At 38.3% G+C, this 26,901-nt stretch overlaps 1 long non-coding RNA gene and 2 pseudogenes across 1 annotated transcript, besides 1 other annotated feature; 1 reads left to right on the top strand and 2 right to left on the bottom strand.

Moving 5' to 3' along the window:
* Positions 12,449–13,054, bottom strand: VN1R41P (vomeronasal 1 receptor 41 pseudogene; annotated as a pseudogene).
* Positions 18,432–19,437, bottom strand: ZNF680P1 (ZNF680 pseudogene 1; annotated as a pseudogene).
* LOC124901658 (uncharacterized) lies at positions 19,789–25,930 on the top strand. The gene is made up of 2 exons (XR_007060358.1): positions 19,789–19,964; positions 25,369–25,930. It is a non-coding gene; the product is annotated as an uncharacterized LOC124901658 (long non-coding RNA).
* Positions 25,773–25,928: a silencer, noted in NCBI's record as "fragment chr7:63923061-63923216 (GRCh37/hg19 assembly coordinates)". NCBI's record gives its function as "represses an EF-1alpha promoter that drives an FKBP-Casp9 reporter gene in an ReSE screen in K562 erythroleukemia cells {active_cell/tissue: K562}" and the evidence as "EXISTENCE:reporter gene assay evidence [ECO:0000049][PMID:32094911]".

The following is a 26,901-nucleotide window of genomic DNA, read 5'->3' as shown; positions in this document are numbered from 1 at the left end:
TGGTTGTCCATTTTTATGGTTATTTCTTGATGATATGCTAAACAAGGGGTGGATTATTCATGCCTCCCCTTTTTAGACCATATAGGGTAACTTCCTGATGTTGCCATGGCATTTGTAAACTGTCATGGCACTGGTGGGAGTGTAGCAGTGAGGACCAGAGGTCACTCTTGTCGCTATTTTGGTTTTGGTGAATTATGGCTGGCTCCTTTACTGCAATCTGTTTTACCAGCAAGGTATGTATGACCCGTATTTTGTGGTGACCTCCTATCTCATCCTGTGACTTAGAATGCCTTAACCATCTGGGAATACAGCCCAGTAGGTTTCAGCCTCATTTTACCCAGCTCCTATTCAAGATGGAGTTGCTCTGGTTCACACACCTCTGATATTTCCCCCCTCCCTTTTATAAGAGAACCATTAGCCCTAAGGGTTTCAGAGGGATGAAGAGCCATCTTCTGTAACTTCTTCATGATGAATAGGGGTGATAATATTCCTGCCTAGCTATGAGGGTCTCTTGCATTCAGGGTAGAGAGGAGCTCAGTAAGAAGGTATCAGTATGGTAAGGTCCCTTTATAACTCTTGAGTTTCAACAAAAGGTGGTATCTGGAACATTAAGGAGTGTTTAGTTTAAGGAAACATTCAGTAAGCTTGTCCTGTATTTCTACACAGAGTATAACAGCAATACATTTCACAACAGTGAGACAAAATAAGTAAAGTTATTCAAAGTAAACTAAATTAGAAGGCTTTCTGTGAACTGGGCAACTGTTGAAACCAAGATGATATGGGGTTGCTAGCTGATTGCAATGTGCCCAGAATAAGAATATTGATCCAGATTTTTATATTACCTATCCCTCTTGTTTCTTCTGAGCAGCAGTCAGAGATCACTGGTTGGTTCACAGGAATAAGCAGGGTTAGCCTAAATTGCAGAAACAAACTTAAAAACAACTAATGAGACTAGAATCTAATAACAAGTATACTGTAGTTTTTGAAACATAATATCCCTCTCTCCAGTTTCCCATTTTTACTAATGGCAAATCATGGTAAGACAAATTTCTTTATTATACTTGGCCTGATTATTTGTATAAAGTGCAGTAAGAATAATTATTTTTCACATCGGCTCTTTTTAAATTGGCTTTGATGGAATTCTGTTCCATAGAAGGAATCTTATATAAGACTTTTTAAAGCCAAGCTCAGCCATCAGTTTGTACCCTCCAATAACTATGAGTTGAGTAAATTCTTCTCCTCTTGGGGTCCCAAGATAACTTGGGGCTTCTGGACCTGTCAGAAAGTGACATTATTTACTTACCACAGATAAGAAACCATGTACAGGGACTGTTGTAGGCAAGGTATGAGCCCAGTTCCCCAAAGGGCTTTTACTGGCTCTACAAGTCAAGTTTGATTCCTTAAAGGAAAGCACATCATTCCAGTCAAAGCCTTGGTAAAATAACCAGTTTCTCCAATTGTGTCCTGTTGTAAAAGAAAACAGATTCTTATTGCCCTTATGCAGATAACTATATTGCTGTAAGTTAAGAACATTCAAAACTAGTTTCCAAATTCTGAAGAAATCAGGTAGAGAGAAATAAATATGTTCCAAATTTTGTTCATAGGAGTACCTCAACTGTTAAAAGCTGTAACTAGCTCAAAAGAAAAGTTTCCTTGACTCTGAAAAACAAAACAAAAGATCAGAAGTGTTTTAATCAAAGTTAAAAAGATTACTTCAGTTTTCTATTGGTTCAGTTAATTCAGTTAACTCCTGTTAACTGAACATTCCATTCATGAACACTCCACCTCTTAATGAGAGTTCTAAAAGTTGTTTCCTTTATTCCAATGTTACAATTTCCAAAGTTATTAGAAACCTGCATTTAAGAACACCTGCTAGTTCTATAGTTGATTATAAGCCATCTTCTAAAGAGGATTAAACAACTATCTATGGATAATAAAAAGTTTTAGGATAGCCACTATTAAAGCCACAACTGATAAGGAAATTTGGTTACCTCTGTGGCACACAAAATTTTACATAACAATGATAATTATTAATAACATACACTGTCATATTAGAATAATAGAAGTTTCCCATAACTTTGGAACATATACCAATAACAAATTTATGCAAATATAGTCCAAAAAAAGGAAAACATCATTTCAAATTTGATGCGTCCTGTAAGATTTTTATACCACATAAGCCAAATTTCATCTTTACATTAATGTACTATTAATGTCAAACCCAATAAAACCTAATAGACATATTTACCCAATTTTAATGTTTAACCATAAGGTAAGATTCTTATAAACCTTTTATAAACTTTTACATTGATTGGTGTGAAAGAGCAGATCAGTACTTTTAGAAAAACCTATTGTGCTTTTATTCCAATGTTTAATTTATGGAAAACTGAATAATACCCCTTTAACTTTAGCCAATATGTCCACACACAGGATCTCTTACAATTAATTTTATAAACCTTCCACAACTTGTTTAAACCTTTAGATTTTTTTCTTACTTAAAACAATCTTTTAACACTTCAATCTAGGCAGAAAAAAATCCACATTTCCATGACCTCTTATAAACTTTCACCAAAAAACACCTTGCATGTAGAATTGTTTCTTTAGTAGTTTCAATTACATGTTATAATGTTAACTCTTAGGAACTTTTATTTTTGGTGAAAACCTTGGTAAGTAAGGGATTTTAATTGTGTACTAGGTGTGGATCCTAGCCTAGGACACACCAGGCAGAAGTGCAAATAAGGGTTGACTCTCCAGCATAGCTAGGGGGCGTGGCTAACTCCACATGTCCCTAGGCCTTATCTCAATTAAGCAGGCAAGTTGTACAGTAAGAGTTATACTGGCATTTTATGAAGCATTTAGGAGGCCTAACAACCTTTGAATTGTACAACATTTTTTTGCATAAATTCCCTTTCACAAATCCTTTCATGAGTTACACAGACTATTTGAGGCATTCTTGGATTTTTTGACTTGCCCTAAACATCCCTCCTTTTAAACAACCAGTCATTTTACTTTAGGACAAGAATTTACTATACAAGATCCTTTCTTATAAAATCTCTTTCTTTATAATCTTCTTTGTATAGCTAGGAGGAATGGGTAATTCCACATGTTCCCAGGCCTTATCTAGAACATGTTCCCAGGCCTTATCTAGAATCTAATGGCTTTAGGGTAAGTAAATTGAACAATTTTTAAAAGTTAAAGAAGCAGTTGATAACCTTAAAGCATTTAACAAACTTAATATCTGACCGGCATAATTTAGTCTAAATGTTTTTATCTTATCAATAACTTTTATTTATCAATAATTTTTTTCCCCAGAAAAATTTGAGGCCAGGCATGGTGGTTCACGCCTGTAATCCCAGCACTTTGGGAGGCTGAGGTGGGTGGATCACCTGAGGTCAGGAGTTTGAGACCAGCCTGGCCAACATGGTGAAACTCTGTCTCTACTAAAATCCCAAAAATCAGCTGGGCGTGGTGGTGCATGCCTGTAGTCCCAACTACTCAGGAGGCTGAGGCAGGAGAATTGCTTGAACCAGGGAGGTGTAGGTTGCAGTGAGTGGAGATCGCTCCATTGCACTCCAGCCTGGGCAACAAGAATGAAACTCTGTCTCAAAAAAAAAAAAAAAAACAAAAACAAAAATTTGGGAAATTTTTATTTCCCAAAGATTACTAAAGTTACATGAACTAAAAGGCATTACAGTTTTTATTTTGCTTTTATAATATTGCATTTAAGCACTTATTTTTGTTTCAACCAATTAATTAGAGCCCTTTTATATAAACATTATACACAACACATCTATAGCTACACAGAAGGACAGAAGAAGATTACTACAGTAGTTGTAAGATTTTTCATTTGCCAGTTTTTAAGTCTTAATTGGATTACTGACTTTAGGGTGGAGCCCTTGGAAGAACAGGGCCAGGAAAGGGGTCTCTGGTGCCTCCTGTTTTTCCCAAGGAGTCCAGGCTGTTAAAGCTTGAACATTCACTTTTAATTAAACTGATTTTAATCATAGCACTCTTTAATAAAGTCCTTTTAGGATTTTTTATGCCAAATGGCTGATATTTCTGGCTTTTTAAACTTAACCAAAGATAACTGCCCAGGTGCTTAGAGAAAGAAAAATTTAAGACAGTCTGCAGAGAAGAAGAGAATAGACAAGGTCACGCAGATATTAAACCAAAAACGACTTACTTCCTAAGTGGGGAATCAAACCTGGACCGCCACTGTGAAAGTGCAAAAACCTTAGCTACTGAGCTACAGCATAAGACAGTCTTCATTTCCTTTCCTAGGAGCCTAGAGTAGTTAATTTTGAGCTTGCAAAGGCTTTTTAACTATTTAATATGATTTTTAGAGCTAACTATGACATGAACCCTAAAATTCCTGTTCCCTGGAAGGTTGAGATCAAGAGAAAGTACCACCACGTGATTAAAAGGTCAAGCTCCCAAGGACATAAAACAAGTTGGAGACTTCATCCAGTTTTTTGTTTGTTTCAGGGACCTGCAGCCAAGTTTGTTACTAACCAGCTTGCTGGGATGTCTTGAGAAGCAGCTTACAGTCCAGGCGTGGTGGCTCACGGACTTTGAAAGGCCGAGGCAGGTGGATCACGAGGTCAGAAGTTCAAGACCAGCCTGGCCAAGGTGGTGAAACTCCATCTCTACTAAAAAAAAAAAAATTAGCTGGGCATGGTGGCGGGCGCCTGTAATCCCAGCTACTCAGGAGGCTAAGGCAGGAGAATTGCTTGAACCCAGGAGGTGGAGGATGCAGTGAGCTGAGATTGTGCCACTGCACTCCAGCCTGGGAGACAGAGTGAGACTCCATCTCAAAAAGAAAAAAAAAAAAAAAAGGCAGCTTCCAGGTGTTCTAAGCCTGTTTTATCCTGAAGTACCCCTTGACACAGAAAAATGAATCTGTAGCACAAAATATACCAGCTTAAGACTACCCTTAGAATTCTTTTTTGCATTAGTCAAAGCTTTACAGAGAAGATAAACACTTATTTTATTTATTTATTTTTTTGAGACGGAGTTTTGCTCTTGTTGCCCAGGCTGGAGTGCAATGGCGCAATCTCGGCTCACTGCAACCTCTGCCTGTGGGTTCAAGTTATTCTCCTGCCTCAGCCTCCCGAATAGCTGGGATTACAGGCATGCGCCACCACGCCTGGCTAATTTTGTATTTTTAGTAGAGACAGGGTTTCTCCATGTTGATCAGGCTGGTCTTGAACTCCCAACCTCAGGTGATCCGCCGGCCTTAACCTCCCTAAGTGCTGGGATTACAGGCATGAGCCACCGCACCTGGCCACACTTATTTTTAATTTTTATTTTTAACCATTCATTCAACCATTTGCGCAGAGAGAGAGAGAAGCCAGAAATCTGACTACTAAGAAATTTTTACCCTTTTGACGGCATGCCAGGCTTCTGGGTTCCTTTACCCTGAGTGGCCCCAGTGATCAGGCTTGTGGCACCATTGCCCTGGGGGCCAAGTCACATCATAAAGGAAAATTTTTTTTTTTCATTCTGGCCAGAGCAAAATACGTGTGATAAAACACAGACATAAGCTACTCTGCTTAGTGCCCAATATCAACTGACAAGGCTTAAATTTGCCTCCAGATGGGCTTCATCATCTTTAATTCAACCTCCAACTTGGAGTTTCAACATGTGGTCTCTGGGCAATAAGGTTGCCCTGAGTAACAGAAAAGATAAAAAAGGAAAAGTAGAGAAGGAAAGTATTGCCTGTGGCAGGGTGGGGAAGGTGAAATGCTTAGGGAGGCCAGAGAAAAGACCCACTCATGTGGGTCGACAATGAAAAGTTCAGGCAGCCGCTTGTTGGTAGCAAGGGGATGTTTTCCAGCAGTCCCATCAGCTCTCAAGTTTCCCCTTTTAGGGACGAAAAAGCTCCCTATGTCCCACAATCCTGTACATGCCTAACCCTGTCACCCACAGCCATCAGCAAAGACTGCAAGAAAGTTTAATCCAAAGAGAATAGCAGTTGCCAAACCTGTTCTTACCTGTTCTTACTTTACTGAAAGGGACCTCTAACTCCCTAAATCTTAGAAGGGACTCTAACCCTCCTAAGTCAGGCCTCTAACCTGAGGTCAGTCAAGCGTCCTTGCCTTTTATTAAGAGGGTCCTCTAACCCACTGTGTATTAGGGGAGACTCTAACTCCCCTAAGTTGGGCCTCTAACCCAATCCCATTCTTTATGCGGGTAACCCAAAGTCATCCAATCAGTGCTGCAGTCTATTTCCTTCCCAACCCAAAGAGTTCCTTCAGTATTGTCCCTTCCAGGTTTGCCAGAAAGATGTTACAGGACCCCAACACTTACCTAAAGGTAGCCATTGGGTCAGGGTTTCTGCAATATAGTCTGTTCTGTGGTCACCAGAAATATGTTACAGGAAAAAAGTCGCAATCCAGATCCCAAGAGAGAACTCTTGGATCTTGCACAATAAAGAATTCAGGGAGAGTCCACAGTGCAAAGTGAAAGCAAGTTTGTTAAGAAAGTAAAGGAATAAAAGAATGGCTACTCCATAGACAGAGCAGCCCCGAGGACTGGTGGTTGTCCATTTTTATGGTTATTTCTTGATGATATGCTAAACTAGGGGTGGATTATTCATGCCTCCCCTTTTTAGACCATATAGGGTAACTTCCTGATGTTGCCATGGCATTTGTAAACTGTCATGGCACTGGTGGGAGTGTAGCTGTGAGGACCAGAGGTCACTCTTGTCGCTATTTTGGTTTTGGTGAATTATGGCTGGCTCCTTTACTGCAATCTGTTTTACCAGCAAGGTATGTATGACCTGTATTTTGTGGTGACCTCCTATCTCATCCAGTGACTTAGAATGCCTTAGCCACCTGGGAATGCAGCCCAGTAGGTTTCAGCCTCATTTTACCCAGCTCCTATTAAAGATGAAGTTGTTCTGGTTCACAGGCCTTTGACACAACTGCCTTAATTGACACTGGCATGACTATATCTCTGATAAATCCCACCTTATTTAAAAACCCCATTCCTTGGATAATGAAAGAATTAACATGGTAGGTATGTCTAATAAAAGGATCTTATGTTTTAAGTCGAAACCTATACCTTATCATTTCATGGGGTTCAGATTCCTTACAGCAGGCTCTAAGTGTGACGTGCTCAGTAGGTCCCATATGTTTCTTATATGCCCTGCGGCCTCTGTCAATCTTTTGGGCTATGATCTTCTCAACACCCATGATGCCTATATCTCTTTTTCATCAAAAGGTAAACTTTTTTTATAATTGGAGCCAGGGGACCAAAAATATCAAATTAAAAAATGTCCTGACAATGTACCACAATTTAGTACTAGTAATGTTAAAACATCATCTTGTGACCAGGCAAATAAAATGGAGACAGAGGAGAAAATACTAGGGGAGAAGAGAAAATATGGGAATAAAGAGCAGGAAACAATAAAACTCCTTTCAGCTTCTCTAATTTTTCTGTTAACCCCAGAAGTGGAACACTTGCTCAAGGATGTCCCCTCCCACTTATGGTCTCAGTCAAATACAGATAAAGAAAAAAGTATACTCAGCCACTCCAATAAAGGTAGAGATAAACCCCCCAAAACCCCTACCCAACCTTAAACAGTATCCTCTATGAAAAGAAGCCATAGATGGACATGCCCCTATAATACACGATTATCTGAAATAGGGGCTCATTATTCCCTGCACAAGCCCCTGCAACAACCCTATATTCCCAATAAAAAAAAAAAAAGTGGGAGAGGATGGAGATTTGTGCAGGACTAGAGGTCAATAAACAATGTCGTATTACCCAGGCACCCAACAGTCTGCAACCACATACTTTCTATCAGTTATACCCACTACCAGCCAGTGTTTCTCAGTGTGGATCGCTGTAGTGCCTTTTTCAGTATTCCTGTAGATCCAGACAGCCAGTATTTGTTGCCTTTACTTGGAAAGACCCAGGGCTCAACACTCATTCAGTAGAAGACCTTCTCCTTTGTTCAGACACACTATCTTTCTCCCAGGAAGATAGCCTATATTTACTCAAAGAGTTAGCCACCAAGGAACACAAAGTGCCTGAAGACAAACTTTAGCTATGCTTATGGCAAGTTAAATATTTGGGGCATATAATCTCGGTCAAAGGACTGATTATTAACCTGACAGAGTGAGAGGAATTTTAGTTTTCCCAATGTCCATCACTAAGAAACAACTTAGAGGAATTTTCGGCCTGTCAGGCTATTGAAGAAACTGGATACTAAATAGACAATCTAAGGTCACATCTCAAGAAATCAGAGAAACGAGAACAAACCAAACCCAAACTCAACAAAAGAAAGAAAATAACCACGATCAGAGCAGAACTAAATAAAACTGAAACAAAAAAAATTCAAAAGATAAATGAAGGCCAGGCGCGGTGGCTCATGCCTGTAATCCCGGCACTTTGGAAGGCAGAGGCAGGCAGATCACGAGGTCAGGAGATCGGGACCATCCCGGCTAATACGATGAAACCCTGTCTCTACTAAAAATACAAAAAAAAAAAAAAAAAAAAAAAAAAAAATAGCCGGGCGTGGTGTTGGGCGCCTGTGGTCCCGGCTACTTGGGAGGCTGAGGCAGGAGAATGGCGTGAACCTGGGAGGCGGAGCTTGCGGTGAGCAGAGATCACGCCACTGCACTCCAGCCTAGGTGACAGAGCAAGACTCTGTCTCGAAAAAAAAAAAAAAAAAAAAAGAAACAAAAAGCTGGTTCTTTGAAAAGATAAGTAAAATTAATAGGACATTAGCAAGATTAACCAAGAAGAGATAAAAATCCAAATAAGTGCAATCAGAAATGAAAAAGGAGACATTACAACTGACACCATAAAAATGCAAAAGATTATTCAAGGCTACTATGAACACCTTTACATACATAAACTAGAAAATCTAGGGGAAATGGATAAATGCCTGGAAAAATACAACCCTCCTAGATTTAATCAGGAAGAATTAGAAACCCTGAAGAGACCAATAACAAGCAACAAGATTGATGGTAATTAAACAATTACCAACAAAAAAATAGTACAGGATCAGATGAATTCACAGCTGAATTCTACCAGACATTCAAAGAAGAATTGATATAAATTCTTTTGACAATATTTCAAAAGATAGAGAAAGAGGGAATTTTCTAAGTCATTCTATGAAGCCCATATCACCCCAATACCAAAACCAGAAAAGAACATAACCAAATAAGCAAACTACAGACCAATATTCTTGATGAATGTAGACACAAAAATTCTTAACAAAATATTAGCTAACTTAATTCAACAGCATATCAAAAAGATAATCCACCATAATCATGAAGGTTTTATATCAGAAACGCAGGTATTATTTAACATATGCAAGTCAATAAATGTGATACACCACATCAACAGAATTAAAAACAAAAATCACATAATTAATAGATGCAGAAAAATCATTTGACAAAATTTAGCATCACTTTATAATTAAAACCTTCAGCAAAACTGGCATACATGGGACATACCTCAATGTAATAAAAGCCATTTATGACAACCACACACTCAACATAATACTGAATGAGAAAAAGTTGAAAACATTCTTTGAGAACTGGAACAAGACAAGGATGTCTACTCTCACCATTTCTCTTTAACATAGTACTGGAAGTCCTAGCCAGAGCAGACAGGAAGAAGAAATAAAAGGTATCCAAAGCAGCAAAGAGAAAGTTAAACTGTTGCTGTTTGCTGATGATATGGTCAGATACCTAGAGAACCCTAAAGACTCTTCCAAAAAGTTTCTAGAAGTGATAAATGAATTCAATGAAGTTTCAGGATACAAAATTAATGTACACAAATTAGTAGCTCTGCTATATACCAACAGCGACCAAACTGAGAATCAAATCAAGAATGCGACACTTTTTATAATAGCTGCAAAAAAACAAACAAAAAAAACTTAGAAATATACCTAAACAAAAACATGAAATACCTTACAAGAAAAATTACAAAACCCTGCTGAGAGAAATCACAGATGACACAAACAAATGACAACACATCCCATTCTCATGGATGGGTAGAATCAATATTGTGAAAATGACTATACTGCCAAAAGCAATATAAAAATTCAATGCAGTTCCCATGAAAATATCAACATCATTCTTCACAGAACTAGAACAATCATAAAATTCATACAGAACCAAAAAGGAGCTCACATAGTGAAAGCAAGACTGAACAAAAAGAACAATCTGGAGGCATCATATTGCCTGACAGCAAACTATACTATAAACCCATAGTCACCAAAACAGCACTGTACTGTTATAAAAATAGGCACACAGACCAATAGAACAGAATAAAGAACCCAGAAATAAACCCAAATACTTACAGTAAACTGATTTTTGACAAGGCAAACAAAAACATAAAGTGCGGAAAGGACACCCTATTCAAGAAATAATGCTGGGATAATTGGCAAGCCACATGTAGAAGAATAAAACTGAAAACTCATCTCTCACCTTATACAAAAATCAACTCAAGAGGGACAAAAGACATAAATCTAAGACGTGAAACTATAAAAATTCTAGAAGATAACATTGAAAAATTTTTCTAGACATTGGCTTACTCAAAGACTTTATGACCAAGAATCTAAAAGAAAATGCAACAAAAACAAAGATAAATAGATGGGGCTTAATTAAACTGAACACCTTCTGAAAAGCAAAATAAATAATCAGCCGAGTTAACAGATAACCCACAGAGTGAGAGAAAATCTTCACAATCTATACATCTGACAAAAGACTAATATCTATACATCTGACAAAAGACTAATATCCAGAATCTACAGAAAACTCATACGAATCCGCAAAAAAAAAAAAAAAAAAAAAAAATCCATGAAAAAGTGGGCTAAGAACATAAACAGACAATTCTCAAAAGAAGATATACAAATGGCCAACAGGCATATGGAAACATGCTCAATATACCTAATTATCAGAGAAGTGCAAATCAAAACCACAATGTGATACCACCTCACTCCTGCAATAATGATCATAATCAAAAAATAAAAAAATAGGACATGTTGCCAGGGATGTGGTGAAAAAGGAATGATTTTACACTTTTGGTGTGAATGTAAACTAGCCCAACTACTATGAAAAACAGTGTGAAAATTTTTTAAAGAACTTAAAGTAGATCTTCTGTTTGATCCAGCAATCCCACTACTAGGTATCTATCCAGAGGAAAAGAAGTCATTATATGAAAAAAAATACTTACACACACGTTTATTGTCTATGTGCCTATTTGTATATCCGCACCATGCTGTTTTGGTGACAATAGCCTTATAGTCAATATAGACAATAGCCTTATAGTTTGAAGTAAGGTAATGTGATGCCTCCAGATTTGTTCTTTTTGCTTAGTCTTGCTTTGGCTATGTGGGCTCTAAGAGAATACAATTTTGTTATTTTCAATCACATGGCTAAACCTGGCAGACAGTATATTAGCTGAAATTAGCCAGGCACAGAAGGATAAATATCTCATGATTTCACTTAGACATAGATTCTAAATAACTTAATCTCATTGAAGTAGAGAGTAACATGGTGACAACCAGATGCTAAGATATTTAGAAAAAAGGGGTTGGAAAGTTATCTGTTAAAGAATACATAATTATAGTTTGTTAGGAGGAATGAGTTTAAGAGATTTATTTTGCAGGCTGGTGACTTTAATTCATAATAACGTATTTTTGAAAAATGTGAAGACAAGATTCTCTCACTAGAAAAATGTTAACTATGTGAGGTAAAGCAATTAAGAATTAATCATTTGACAATGTATACATACTTCAAAACATGTTTGGCCAGGCATGGTGGCTCATCTCTGTAATCCCAGCACTTTGGGAGGCCAAGGCAGGTGGATCACAAGGTCTAGAGACCAAGGCCAGCCTGGCCAACATGGTGAAACCCCATCTCTATTAAAATGACAAAAATTAGCTGGGCGTGGTGGCACACGCCTATAGTCCCAGCTACTTGGGAGGCTGAGGCAGGAGAACTGCTTGAACCCGGGAGGTGGAGGTTGCAGTGAGTCGAGATTGCACCACTGTACTCCAGCCTGGCGACAGAGTGAGACTCTGTCTCAAGAAAAATAAAATAAAATAAAATAAAATAATTATGTTTTACCGAATAAATACACATTTTATCTGTCATGTTAAAAATATATTTTTAGGCCGGGCGCGGTGGCTCACGCCTGTAATCCCAGCACTTTGGGAGGCCGAGGCGGGCGGATCACGAGGTCAGGAGATCGAGACCATCCTGGCTAACACGGTGAAACCCCGTCTCTACTAAAAATACAAAAAATTAGCCGGGCGTGGTAGCGGGCGCCTGTAGTCCCAGCTACTCGGGAGGCTGAGGCAGGAGAATGGCGTGAACCCGGGAGGCGGAGCTTGCAGTGAGCCGAGATCGCGCCACTGCACTCCAGCCTGGGCGACAGAGCGAGACTCCGTCTCAAAAAAAAAAAAAAAAAAAAAAAAAAAAAATATATATATATATATATATATATATATTTTTAAACATTATAAGAGGATAACAATGTTTCAAATACTGTGTTTTTGTCATAAACTTGGTTGAATGATACCAAAAATATGTAATTTTTGTGCTGTTTTTGTCACTTAATTTGTCAGTCATAAGCATAAGAACTTTGATACTTAACTGCATGTTCTGGACCCAGCACAGTACATAGGAGAAGCCAATGTACTTTAGGGCTTTTACTTAAAGCTTGGGAAACCTGGAATTTCTGGTGCAGATTTTAATAATATGGAAAACACTAAAAGGTCAGGTGTTGCTTATGGTTCCATGACTACCCACACAGTAAACAAGTTCACTTACAAATTAACAGAAAATATTTTAATCCAAAAGCTGCCATGATCCCAAAATTTTTCCAGAGAAAATGACAAGGGAGTTGGCTACAGTTAGGTGACTAAGAATGAACACTGTAGACTGAACTTTACACCCCCTAAAAATTTTACATAGAATAAGAGAAAAATTTCTCCAAATTGTAACATCAACATGGAAAAAAATATTATTCCAAATTTCAAACCCACAGAGTTCCTTTTATTATTTTGCAACACTTCACATTTACACATAAAATTAAAAAAAAACTGCATGGAAACATAAGATGCGCTATAAGTGTATCATAAAAAATTTAATTTAGGCTGGGCGCGGTGGCTCACGCCTGTAATCCCAGCACTTTGGGAGGCCGAGGCGGGCGGATCATGAGGTCAGGAGATCGAGACCATCCTGGCTAACACGGTGAAACCCCGTCTCTACTAAAAAAATACAAAAAATTAGCCGGGCGTGCTGGCGGGCACCTGTAGTCCCAGCTACTCGGAGGCTGAGGCAGGAGAATGGCGTGAACCTGGGAGGCGGAGCTTGCAGTGAGCCGAGATTGTGCCACTGCACTCCAGCCTGGGCAACAGAGCAAGACTCTGTCTCAAAAAAAAAAAAAAAAAAAAAATTTAATTTAAAATTCTTCACTCACCATTAACTCTTAAGAATTTCTAAGATATATTTTCTAGCAAATTTTATATATGCCACAATTTGTGTAAGAAACTAATAAAATTTTCCTTTTACACACATAGGAAAACAATGCTAACTGATTTAATCCTCTCATCTGTCGACAGTGTATGCCTATTATGTTAATTAACTGATCTGAAAGTTATATTAATAAACTCTCCAGTTAAAACCAATTTTTTAGTGCATTAAAAAATACCAACTTTCTCATCAGAACCTACAAAGTACCAAGTGAAATGACACGGCATGAAGACAACAGTGAGTAAACTGTAATCACAACACAGAAAAAGGAGACGGGCTGTAATGCATACATAGTTGGAATACAATAAAATGACAAAACTGAAGATAATTAGAATGTAACAGAAGCAGAATTTGTTTAAATTCAGCAAAATTCAGCTTTGCAGCCTGTAATAAATGTTCTCTTCACATGAATAGTTAGTTATTTCTTCACAATTCATATTTTCCATCTCTGACTTGAAGTTACAAACTAACTCCAGCAGAAATATTTATGGCTTATTATGGAGCATCTGTTATACAGCAAGCACTTTCATGTTTTTTGCTACATTTATATTTTTAAAAATCCTCATGACTTATAAAGCCTGTACTTACCTGAACAAATTGGTTCAATAAATAAATTTACTTGTGTCAATTATAAACATGAAAGAAACAATAACTAAAGAATAGTAGGCTTGGCCAGGCGCGGTGGCTCATGCCTGTAATCCTAGCACTTTGGGATGCTAAGGTGGGTGGATTGCCTGAGGTCAAGAGTTTGAGACCAGCCTGTACAACATGGTGAAATCCCATCTCTACTAAAAATATAAAAAGTTAGCCAGGTGTGGTGGCACATGCCTGTGATCCCAGCTACTTGGGAGGCTGAGGCAGGAGAATCACTTGAATCTGGGAGGCGGAGGTTGCAGTGAGCTGAGATCACGCCATTGCACTCCAGCCTGGGCAACAAGAGTGAAACTCCGTCTCACACAAAAAAAGAAAAAGAAAAAAGAAAACAAGAATAGTATGCTTATATAGGGTTCTGCAATTAAATGGAATATTCTAACTGAAAACATAATACACTAATTTTGGAATTACATCTAAAAATTATTTTGTGTGCACTACTAGATTTTATTAAAATCATTCATATAATCCCTTACCAGCTCATATAATGAGTACTTTATATACTATATAACAAAGAAATTATAACATACAAGATAATTATAAGTCTAGCATGAGTACCAGGCAAGTAAAAAAAAAATTGCATGAGGAGATTCTGAACCATAAGCCTTAATATTTTACAGTAATGAATTCAACATAAAGCAGAGATCATAGATTTGTTTCCAGCATTTTTGAAGTTTTTAGTTTTCTAGTAAATTAGTCAGCTTATTAAAATAATGCTTTGTTTCAATATCGCTTTTTACTCTGAAAATAAGTACAAACTCATACTTACACACACACTTACTTCATAATTTACTTTCACCTAACAGTTATCTTTATAGTAATATATGTTTGTGTAAATAAAAATTAAAAGTCTGTGTTTCCAGGAAGAGAGGGCACATGTTCATAGAAAAATATAATAAAACTTGAAAAATATTTAGGACTCAGAAATGTATAAATTTATGTATATGTCTATGTAATTTTTATTATGACCTAAAATGACCTGGTAGTCACTAACAGTTTAACTGTACATTTTAATATAACTAGAAGTGTACAATTGGATTGTTTGTAATACAAAGGATAAATGCTAGAGGTGATAGATACCTGATTCACCCAGATGTGATTATTACAGATTGTATGCCTGTGTCAAAACATAACATAGGACAGGCACGGTGGCTCACCCCTGTAATCCCAGCACTTTGGGAGGCCGAGGTGTGTGGATCACCTGAGGTCAGGAGTTCGAGACCAGCCTGGCCAACATGATGAAACCTCATCTCTACTAAAAATACAAAAAAATTAGCCGGGCGTGGTGGCATATGCCTGTAGTCCCAGCTACTTGGGAGACTGAGGCAGGAGAATCACTTGAACCCCAGAGGTGTAGGTTGCAGTGAACTGAGATCATGCCACTGAACTCCAGCCTGGGTGACAGAGTGAAAAACAAAAACTAAAACTAAAAAACATAACATATATGGCATAAATATATGCACATACCCTGTACCCACAAAAATTAAGAAATATAAATTTAAATAAAAAGAAAAGAAATAAAAATTTAAGTGATGGGAACAATGTTCTTTAACTTATTTGCAGTTTAAAGCCACTGGCAAAAGAGATTACTGGAGATATTATTCCACTATTTTACCAAATCACATACTGTTACTATCTTTTACCTACACTCTTGAGTAAGGTGGAATAGGTGAATGTTAGTGGTATAACACTTTATTGAATGCACAATAGTCTTAACATGTTAAAAATGTACAATTAAAAAATTAAGTTCACACATAATCTAAAAATTTTTAAATGTACTGCATTTTACTGCATAAAAGTACAATTAGTAAATTGGTAATTTAATTACTTTTTTTTTTTTTTGAGATGGAGTCTTGCTCTGTCACCCAGTGGGGAATGCAGTGGCACGATCTTGGTTAACTGCAGCCTCTGTCCCCCAGGTTCCAGTGATTCTCCTGCCTCAGCATCCCCAGAGCCTGGGATTACAGGCACACACCACCATGCCTGGCTAATTTTTGTATTTTTAATAGAGGCAGGGTTTCACCATGTTGGCCAGGCTTGTCTCGAACTCCTGACCTTAGATGATCCACCCACATTGGCCTCCCAAAGTGTTGGGATTACAGGCATGAGCCACTGTGCCCAGCCCCTTTAATTTAAACTAAAATTAAAAATGCCTTTCTCTCACTATAATGCAGAAGAATATTACTCTGAACACCTACCTCATCACTCAGTATTATAAGTTAACCACCAAGAACCTACTTAGATTTTCATTATAAATCTTAAGCTTTAATGCCCTTACTCTTCTATAGAAAAAAATCAGTGTTCACCTAATAAAAAAGAATCTCGTATCTCTGACACAGCAACAATTCGTTACATGCTTTCACATGTGAATACAATAGGAATGAAAAAACATAATAATGTAATTTGAGAGTTGAATTCATCATTATCTGCTTTTCAAATAATCTGCAATCTTTTTAAAAGTATACTTTGAATGTAATTATAACTCTCCTGAAAATCTTCTACTCCTGTTTTTTTTTTTTTTTTCTTTTTTTGAGATGGAGTTTTGCTCCTGTTGCTCAGGCTGGAGTGCAATGGCGTGATCTTGGCTCACCACAACCTCTTCCTTCCGGGTTCAAACAATTCTCCTGCCTCAGCCTCCTGAGTAGCTGGGATTACAGGCATGCGCCACCACACCCAGCTAATTTTGTTTTTCCAAGTTGATCAGGCTGGTCTCAAACTCCTGACCTCAGGTCAGGCTCCCAAAGTGCTGAGATTACAGGCGTGAGCCACTGCATCCGGCCTTACTCCTTTTACAGTTATATACAAATCATCTAACAACTTGAGTTATATTTTCTATACTGAACACTCTGATTTAGTGTAATATCTAAAGTGTCAGTAACTTATTTCTACTGTAAATTCTGATATTTACATAGACTGTGAATTAAATATTTTTCATACTTACTTCATCTGCAAAAATATATTTCAGTATAAATTCTCTGTTTTCTAGGCTATGGTTTTTTAAAAAATGTGTTTCCAAATTTATTACATTTGCAAGATTTTTGTCCAATATAAATTATCTGATTTTGAACAAAGTTTGAGCAACTGCTTCAGGGTTTTCCTCTAGTATAAAATGTGTACAATATGATTTGTGATACAAGTAAAGGTACTACACCATCCTTATATTTGTAATATTTGTCTTCAGCATAAACATGCTTTTTACTTTAAAGGGTTATAGTTTCTGAAAGATCTTTTGACAGTAATTGCATTTATAATGCTCCTAATTAAGTAAAAATTCTGATGTTGAGTAAGATGTGAGCAGACATCAATGACATTTTTATATTCTTTATATTTGTATAATCTTTCTCAAGTATAAATGTTTTCCTGTGCAATAAGGTGTGGATATTGCTTCACAGTTTTGCCACATTCTTTACTTATTAAGTTTTCTCCAGTATAAATTATCTTACCTATAATCAAGTGTGACAACCACTTGAAGGTTTTGTCACGTTCTTCACATTTTTAAAATTTATTTTTTATTTTTTTTTTAGACAGAGTCTTGCTCTGTAGCCCAGGCTGGAGTGCAGTGGCGCAATCTCAGCTCACTGCAAGCTCTGCCTCCCGGGTTCACACCATTCTCCTGCCTCAACCTCCCAAGTAGCTGGGACTACAGGCGCCTGCCACCACACCCAGCTAATTTTTTGTATTTTTAGTAGAGACGGGGTTTCACCGTGTTAGCCAGGATGGTCTCAATCTCCTGACCTCATGATCCGCCCGCCTCAGCCTCCCAAAGTGCTGGGATTACAGGCGTGAGCCACCGTGCCCGGCCACACATTCTTCACATTTTAAAGGTTTTTCACCAGGATGATTTTTTGTATATTTAGAAAAGTTGGAGGTGTTGTCAAAATCATTGTCATATCTTTTAGGTTTGTAGAGTTTCTCATCAGTATGAATTTTTTTATGTCTAGTAAGGTTTGAGGAGCAGTTAAAAGCTTTGCCACATTTGTCACATTTGTGGGGTTTTTCTCCCGTATGAATTTTCTTATGATCAGCAAGAGTTGCAGCCTAGTTAAAAACATTGTCACATTCAACATATTTGTAAGATTTCTCTCCAGTATTAATTGCTTTATGATTAGTAAAGGTTGAGAATACACTAAAGCTTTTGCCACATTCTTCACATTTGTAGGTATTCTTTCTAGTATGAATTATCTTATGTCAGGTAAGGTAGGAGGGCCCATTAAAACATTTGCCACATTCTTCACATTTGTAGGGTTTCTCTCCTGTATGATTTCTCATGTGTTCAGTAAGGTCTGAGGACTGGGTAAAAGCTTTTCATCATTCTTCATATTGTAGGATTTCTCTCCGGTATGAATTCTTTTATGTTTAATAAGGTTTGCAAACTGGTTAAAAGCTTTGCCACATTCTTCACATTTGTAGGATTTCTTTCCAGTATGAGTTTTCTTATGTTTAGTAAGGTGTGAAAACTGGTTAAAACCTTTGCCACATTCTTTACATTTGTAGGGTTTCTCTCCAGTATGAGTTTTCTTATGTTTAGTAAGGTGTGAAAACTGGTTAAAACCTTTCCCACATTCTTTACGTTTGTAGGGTTTCTCTCCAGTATGAATTCTCTTACAGTTGGTAAGGGTTGAGAACTGGTTAAAGGCTTTGTGACATTCATCACCTTTGAAGGGTTTGTCTCCAGTATGAATTATCTTAAGTTTACTAAGGATTGAGAATACACTAAAACCTTTGCCACATAATAACATTTGTAGGATTTCTCTTTAGTATGAATTTTCTTATGTCTAATAAGGGTTGAAGATTGGTTAAAGGCTTTGCCACATTCTTCTCATTTGTAGGGTTTCTCTTCTGTATGAATTCTTTTACGTTTAATAAGCTGTGATAACCAGTTAAAAACTTTAGCACACACCTCACATTTGTAGGAATTATCTCTAGTATGAATGCTTTTATGTCATGTTAGGTGTGAAAACATGCAAAATGATTTGCCACATTCTTTACATTTGAAGGGTTTCTTGTCAGGATGTCTTATGACAATTTGAATTTAAAAATATATGAAAGACTTTCATATATTTATCACATTGAAATATTCTGCTCTGAGTAGTTGTCAAACATTTGTTAAGTTCATTATAACCTCTTTTGTGCACCTTATACTCATCCACACTTTTACAGTTTATTCTTTACTGTAAATTTTTATGTCCACATTTTCCATATCTTCTCAGTATCACTTTTTGGAAAGAAGCCTTTATGCCTTGTTCTAGCCAAAGATCTTGGGCATAATGAGAATACTTAACTGAAAGAAATAAAAATAAAATATTTCTCCACTTGCTAGAGTCAGATGAATATACTTTACAAATCTAATGTATAGGCTGAGTATGGTGGCTCATGCCTATAATCACAGCACTCTCGGAGGCTGAGGTGGGTGAATGACTTGAGGTCAGGAGTTTGAGACCAGCCTGGCCAACATGGTGAAACCCTGTCTCTACTAAAAATACAAAAATTAGCTGGGCATGGTGGTGGGCACCTGTAATCCCAGCTACTCAGGAGGCCAAGGCAGGAGAATTGCTTGAACCCAGGAGGCAGAGGTTGCAGTGAGCCAAGATTGTGCCACTGTGCTCCAGCCTGGGCAACAGAGCAAGACTCTGTCTCAAAAAATAAAATAAGTCAAATAGAAGAAATGTATAGAACAAAAAAAGGGGTGGGGAAAGATGAAGCACATAGACAATCCTGGTAAACAGCTGTGATTAATAAAATTATCCATCTTTTGTGTTCTCCAGGAACAGTTTACAGAAAAAAACACCCTGTCCATTTGACTTAGATGGTGTAAGTACTCTCTTATCTTACTTATCACATAGCCAAACATGAACTCTCCACATCTTCTTTTTCTCATTAAGAAATCAGTTGGATTTGTCTTCAGTGGTCAGAATAAAATACTTCTTAATCAAAGTTTATCTCCTTCCCACAAGCTTCTGAACTTTGAGCTACCCTCAGTCTGAGCCAACATAGAACCCCATTTTATGTCCCTTTTAAGAACATGCTGAGTTCAGGGTAAAAAATGTTCTGATCTAAAATATAATTATTTTCACCCTCCATTTGCCATCCCCCCCCACCTCCTTTTTATTTTATTTTAGTTTTTTTGAGACGGAGTCTCGCTCTGTCGCCCAGGCTGGAGTGCAGTGGCGCGATCTCGGCTCACTGCAAGCTCCGCCTCCCAGGTTCACGCCATTCTCCTGCCTCAGCCTCCCGAGTAGCTGGGACTATAGGCGCCCGCCACCACGCCCAGCTAATTTTTTGTATTTTTAGTAGAGATGGGGTTTCACCGTGTTAGCCAGGATGGTCTCGATCTCCTGACTTGTGATCCGCCCGTCTCAGCCTCCCAACCTGCTGGGATTACAGGCGTGAGCCACCGCGCCCAGCCCCCATCTCCTTTTTAATCTTGTTTGCTCCTCCCTATGAAAGAAAGCCCTTGTCTGCCTAGACTTTGCAGTCCTTAAAGATCTTATAGTTGGTACTTCCTCCTGTTGCAATGCTTGTTTGGTATTCAAATTTTTTACATAAATCTAACTTTATTTTACAATGTTTAGAAACTGCCTCAAAACAATAACAACTTCATCTTCAGTAAAACCCTCCCAATCTCCTTCCTTCTTAACCTTAACTGCATCTGCCTGTGGGTCCCCAGCTTTCTAGGGCTCTGTAGCCTCAGTATAAAGGATTCTTTCATGGCTGGGGTGCACAGGCTGGGACACCTGCAGGGGAGGCTCCCTAGAAAGAATTAACTGGACCTTTAATAACATCCTTTTGCAGGCTCAATATTAGCCCTAGCTTGGAGTCACCAGGCTAAAGATTTGATTTCTATGTCAAAGGTATTCACTTGGTTTTTGAAAGTAACTGTTTGAAAAATCCAGCACAATTACTCAAACATGGTGTTACTGTAAGGAAAGGAATTTATACGCTGCTTACACTTCACACTTCAATAAGAAAAGTAAAAGTATTTATTCCTTTCAGATAATAAATGTATTATTTTATTATTTCCATTAATAATCATGTAGTAAACAACTAGTCATATGGGAACACTTCTAAGTGGTACCAAGTTTCACCTCATAAAATTTAGCATGAAACTCAGAAATCAGGCCGGGTGTGGTGGCTCACGCCTGTAATCCCAGCACTTTGGGAGGCTGAGGCGGGCGGATCACGAGGTCAGGAGATCGAGACCATCCTGGCTAACACGGTGAAACCCCGTCTCTACTAAAAAAATATATAAAAAATTAGCCAGGCGTGGTGGCGGGCGCCTGTAGTCCCAGCTACTTGGGAGGCTGAGGCAGGAGAATGGCGTGAACCCGGGAGGTGGAGCTTGCAGTGAGCTGAGATTGTGCCACTGCACTCCAGCCTGGGCAACAAGCAAGACTCCGTCTCAAAAAAAAAAAAAAAAAAAAAAGAAACTCAGAAATCAAAATAATGGGATCTAGAACAGAGATAGTGTCACAAACTTACCCTGCAAAAAAAGAAACTGATGTTTTCATGAATCTATGTAACTCACCAATTAGCTACAACATTTTCTTGTGGAAATGTATTCATTTTCTAAAACCAAAATAAAAGAGTGATTTTCCCTATAATTTTCCTTGGTAGCTAGTAATCTAAAAGCTAAGCCTTGAAATTCTGTTTGAAATCACTCAGCCATAAAAAATACACCTGAGAAAATTGTTAAACTCACTCTGGGAAAGAAAAAAGTAAATGAGAATTATTAACAAATGGAATATATGATTACATATTAATTTTTTTAACCCACCTCTTTTATGTCCTTTTTAATTATTTTTTTCTACCTGTCAAGCCCTACTTAATAAAATGCAATTTACAGTTTAAAAACTGAGGTCAGGCTGGGTACCATGGTTCACGCTTGTAATCCCAGCACTTTGGGAGGCTGAGGCGGGTGGAACACCTGAGGTCAGGAGTTTGACACCAACCTGGCCAACATGGTGAAACCCAGTCTCTACTAAAAATACAAAAATTAGCTGGGCGTGGTGGTGTGCGCCTGTAATCCCAGCTACTCCGGAGGCTGAGGCAGAAGAATCGCTTGAACCCAGGAGGTGGAGGTTGCTGTGAGCTGAGAGCGCACCACTGCACTCTAGCCTGGGCAATAGAGCAAGACTCGGTCTTGGTTAAAAAAATAAAATAAAATAACTGAGGTCAAAATAAGTAAACAAATATTTTCACAGTGACAAATTTATGGTGTGGCAGTGCTGATTAAAAAACAGATGTGCCTGACTCATGTGTCAAGTCAGGCCATCCAATCGCTTAAGAGATTCTCACCCCCCATCCTGCTCACTTAAGTGCTCAATAACCTGTCTCTCAGGAGACATTGCACTATGCCCCAGTGCGTGCCCCAGGTGCATTTTACTTTGCACCTGGGGTTAAGTTATTGAACCATCTCACTGGGGTCAGTTTTTGTTTGTTTTTTTGGAATACTATTTTTTCTTTCACAAATTTTTCACTATTTGTCTTTCACTATTTTTCCTCTGTTGTACTTCTTTCACAATTTTTCCTCTGTTGTATTTCTTTCACAATTTTTCTGCCCCTATACAGAATCCAGGGAGCAAAAATTATTTCTGTGTTTTCCCCTCAATACCAGCATCTGATTATCTGACCAGCAATGTGTCTACAAGAAATGGAATCTGGCTTGAAGACAATCTTAATGTCTCACGGGGTTAACTTTTCAAAAAAAATAGTATACCAGGAGATTCCTCTCAGCCCTAGGGCATCCATCTGCTCTTTCAAGAGGCTACACTCCATACCTCCAGTTTTCCTATTGGAGAAAATGACCCAGGACCTGAGAGTCACTAGACATTATAGCAGACAGCCATGGTGGGTATCTTGGTTCATCCCCAGACAGTACTGAAACCCAGGACCAGTAAAAAAGTAAATGATGGCTGAGAACACATCACCCCATAGTTTCCAAAGGGAAACCATGACCCAAAAACATTCTGACAAGATCTCTGTGCCTAGGGAAGATAAAAGAAAAAGAGGCACAGACTTTTTTACAATACAGTGTCTGTGGAACTTTCTTCTTATGGGAAATATTTACAAACAGAAAACAAATGTTTTAAAAAGTGCCATCCAATACTTTGTCATAATGATTAATAATGATTAATTAAAATGCAGTATCAAAAATGTATACTAAAGAACAAATAGTTGATCATGCAAATTAGGGAGGGGAAGTTGGCATTTGGGAATGTCACAAGGAACTGGAAATTTAGTATTTTACTGCAAGCCAGAGTTAGACTGAAGGATTAGGGGGTGGGGGGTAGACTTGAGACCCTGTTTGGGACACATGTGAAAAATGCAGGGTAAAATCTGTCCCCTGTGGAGTGTGAACATAATTAAATGGCAGGCAATTAGACTGAGGTGGCTCTAGCCCCTGGATTCCTACTTAAAAAAACAAAAATCTAACTCAAGTGCATTTTTTTGTCAATTACTATATTGGAGAAAGCAAAATTTAGGCAACTATAAACTGCCAATTAACCGCTGATTACATTATCAGGAAATTTTCACCTCGATCATACAAGTTGAGAAACTACGTAACTGTACCTAACCACTGATTTTCTTCATCATGCACCTTAAAATGACTTTTTTTTTTTTTGAAATGAAGTCTCGCTCTTGTCTCCCAGGCTGCAGTGCGATGGCGTGATCTCGGCTTACTGCAACCTCCGCCTCCCGGGTTCAAGGGATTCTCCTGCCTCGGCCCCCTGAGTAGCTGGGATTACAGGCGCCTGCCACCACCTCCGTCTAATTTTTGTATTTTTAGTTGAGACAGGGTTTCACCATGTTAGTCAGGCTGGTCTCGAACTCTTGACCTCAGGTGATCCACCCGCCTTGGTCTCCCAAAATGCTGGGATTACAGGCGTAAGCCACCGCGCCTGGCCTAAAATGACTTTTCTTTAAGTCCACCTGATGGAACATAAACTAGAAACCATAGCTTGGTGCTCTACAATTTTTGAATCACTCTTTGATTAAATTCTTTAATATTTTTCTGGTTACTCCCATAAATACTTTACAGGAGAAAAGAGTGACTGGGAACCCCACGGATCAAAGCTCTTCCCATTCATAAACCCCGCACCCCGAGTCAGGATTCTCCCGACTACCTTCTCGCGGTCCCTGCACAATCGGGGAGGGATGCGGCGCTGTAGGTGCAGAGCTGCCCAGAGAGGACTCCAGGCCAGGGCACAGTCACTGCGCAGGGAGGAGACAGGACGCCCGGGGTCACTGCTGTGAGCCGGGCCGCCATCTTATGGCTAAAGGGGGCTGAGGGCCGAGCTGAGCCAAGGAGAACTCAGTGGGGACGGGGGAGGTCCGTGGAATTTGGAGCCGACTTCGGGGAGGCCCGAGTCCCGCCACAGCCACTTCCTACCGGTTCCAACCAGCCCCCTCCCTCTCTCTCGGGATGTCGGACCCGTCACTCTCACCACTTCTAGGCTTCCAGGGGGTCCTGGCGTCTTAGCTGTGGATCTCCCAATACCTACAGGTCACAGGGACACAGAGGTTGGGCCTCTAGGAGCAGAGGACACAGAAAAGCGAAGAGAAGACCTGGAGCTCCAATGGTAGCGAGACAAAGGCCGCGCCAAATCCCGGAAGCCGTCCTGTCCGCTCCAGCTACGTGCCTGATTGGACGGTTCCTAGCCCAGCGATCCTGATTGGATAATGTTTAGGGCCCCACCCACTCAGGCCCTGAGTAGCGGAAGATGTGCTCAGATGCTGGGCTGAATGAAGACAGAGTGAAACCTAAGCTGCCGCCTTTTCAGGCAGGGCTTTTTCCTGAGCTGAGCCAGTCCCGCCCCAGAGGGCATTTGCATTTAACCATGCGTATAAGGTCATATGCATTTATAAATAATATATTATATGGCTATTCACAAATGCAAAGAATATAATAACCATTATTTAACAAATTCAGATTTTATGACCTTCCTGGCTTCTGGTTGTTGAGCAGGCAGCCTGGGATTTTAAAACGGAGGCAATCCTCTGAAATAAAATGTGAGCCACATGTGAATTTTACATTTTCTGGTAGCCAAACTTTAAAAAAAGAAGAAACAGGTGGAATTGATTGTAGCAATTTAATTAACTCACTATATTCAAAATATTATCATTTCAATATGTAAGAAATATTTATTACTAATAAAGTGTATATATATATATGGAAATAAATCTTTGAAACTAACTCTGTATTTTACCTTTCTAGAACATCGCAGTTCAGACCAGCCACATACCAGGCACTCAGTAGCCACACTTGGTCAATAGCTGCTACATTAAAGTGTAGCTTCGACGACAGGGGATGAAGATCCTGAAAAAATCTTTTCCGCCAGAGGTGAAGGAAGAGCCTCTCCCTACCAACATCTCTCTTCAGTTCCGAGGGTGGAACAGATACTGTCCATGTAAAAAGCAGAGGGCAGCAGGAATAAAATAATCACAGGTACATCATTGCTGGCCCACCTGTTGGTGTACCTGTGATTATTTTATTCCTAAGTTATAAACTAAAGATCTCTACATTGTAAGCTAAAGACTGTTGAAGTAAGAAACTAAATAATACACAAATACTTGCAAAGATATTTATTTGTAAATTGGCATAATTAATATTGTTAAATGTCTGTATTACACAAAATGATCTGCAGATATAATACAACCTTTATCAAAAACCAATGACTTTCTTCACAGAAACATTTAAAAACAATTCCAAAATTTATACGGTACTAGAAAAGACTCTCACTATGCAATAAAAAAAAATAAAAAAAAAAACAAACCCACAGCTGAGAACATTCCCCTACCAGACTTCAAAATATCCTGCAAAGGTATAGTAGCCAAAACTGTATGGTACTGGCTTAAAAATTAACTCATAGGTTAATGAAGCAGAATAGAGAGACCAGAAGTAAATCCATGCATTTACAATTAATTGATTTTAGATGAAGGTGACAAGTTATTAAAAAAAGAGAGTCTCTTCAATAAATGATGTTGGGAAAACTTTATATCCACATGAAAACAATAAAATAAGACCCTCATCTCATACCATGTATAGAACTCATCTAAAATGAATTAGAAACTTGAATTTAAGACTTGAAACTCTGAAACTTCTACAAGAAAAAATATTGTTAAAGCTTTATAACATGAGTCCGGGCAATGATGTTTTGGATTTAACCTCAAAATCCTAGAGAACAAATGTAAACATAGATAAATCAGATTATTTCAAATTAAAAAGCTATTACACATCAGCATTTGCAATCAAGAGAATAATAAGACAACTAAAATGTGTGAGAAAATATTTCCAAATTTTACATCTGACAAGAGGTTAAATATCAAAAATATATAAGAAACTCAAATGACTATACAACAAAGAAGACAACTATTAAAAATGAGCAAAAGGCCAAAATAGACATTTTTCAAAAAAGGACATACACATGACAAACATATCTTTAAAAAAAAGGTTCAATGTCAGTTATCTTCAGGGAAAGGCAAGCCAAAACATTGATAAGATATCAATTCACTCTTGCTAGAATGACTCTTATTAAAAAGAAAAAGATAACAAGTATTAGTAAATAGGGGAAAGAGAATGCTTAAACACTGTTGGTGTGAATATAAATCAGTAAAGCCATTATAAAAAACAGAATGAAGATTTCTCAAAAAGATTAACATAGTACTATCATATGATGCTGCAATTGCACTATTGGGTCTAAATCCCAAAACAAATAAAATACGTATGTTGAAGAGAAATCTGCACTAC

Source organism: Homo sapiens, chromosome 7 (assembly GCF_000001405.40).
Source record: "Homo sapiens chromosome 7, GRCh38.p14 Primary Assembly".
In the NCBI taxonomy this organism is placed as follows: Eukaryota; Metazoa; Chordata; class Mammalia; order Primates; family Hominidae; genus Homo; species Homo sapiens.
This window is presented reverse-complemented; position numbering and strand designations above follow the sequence as displayed.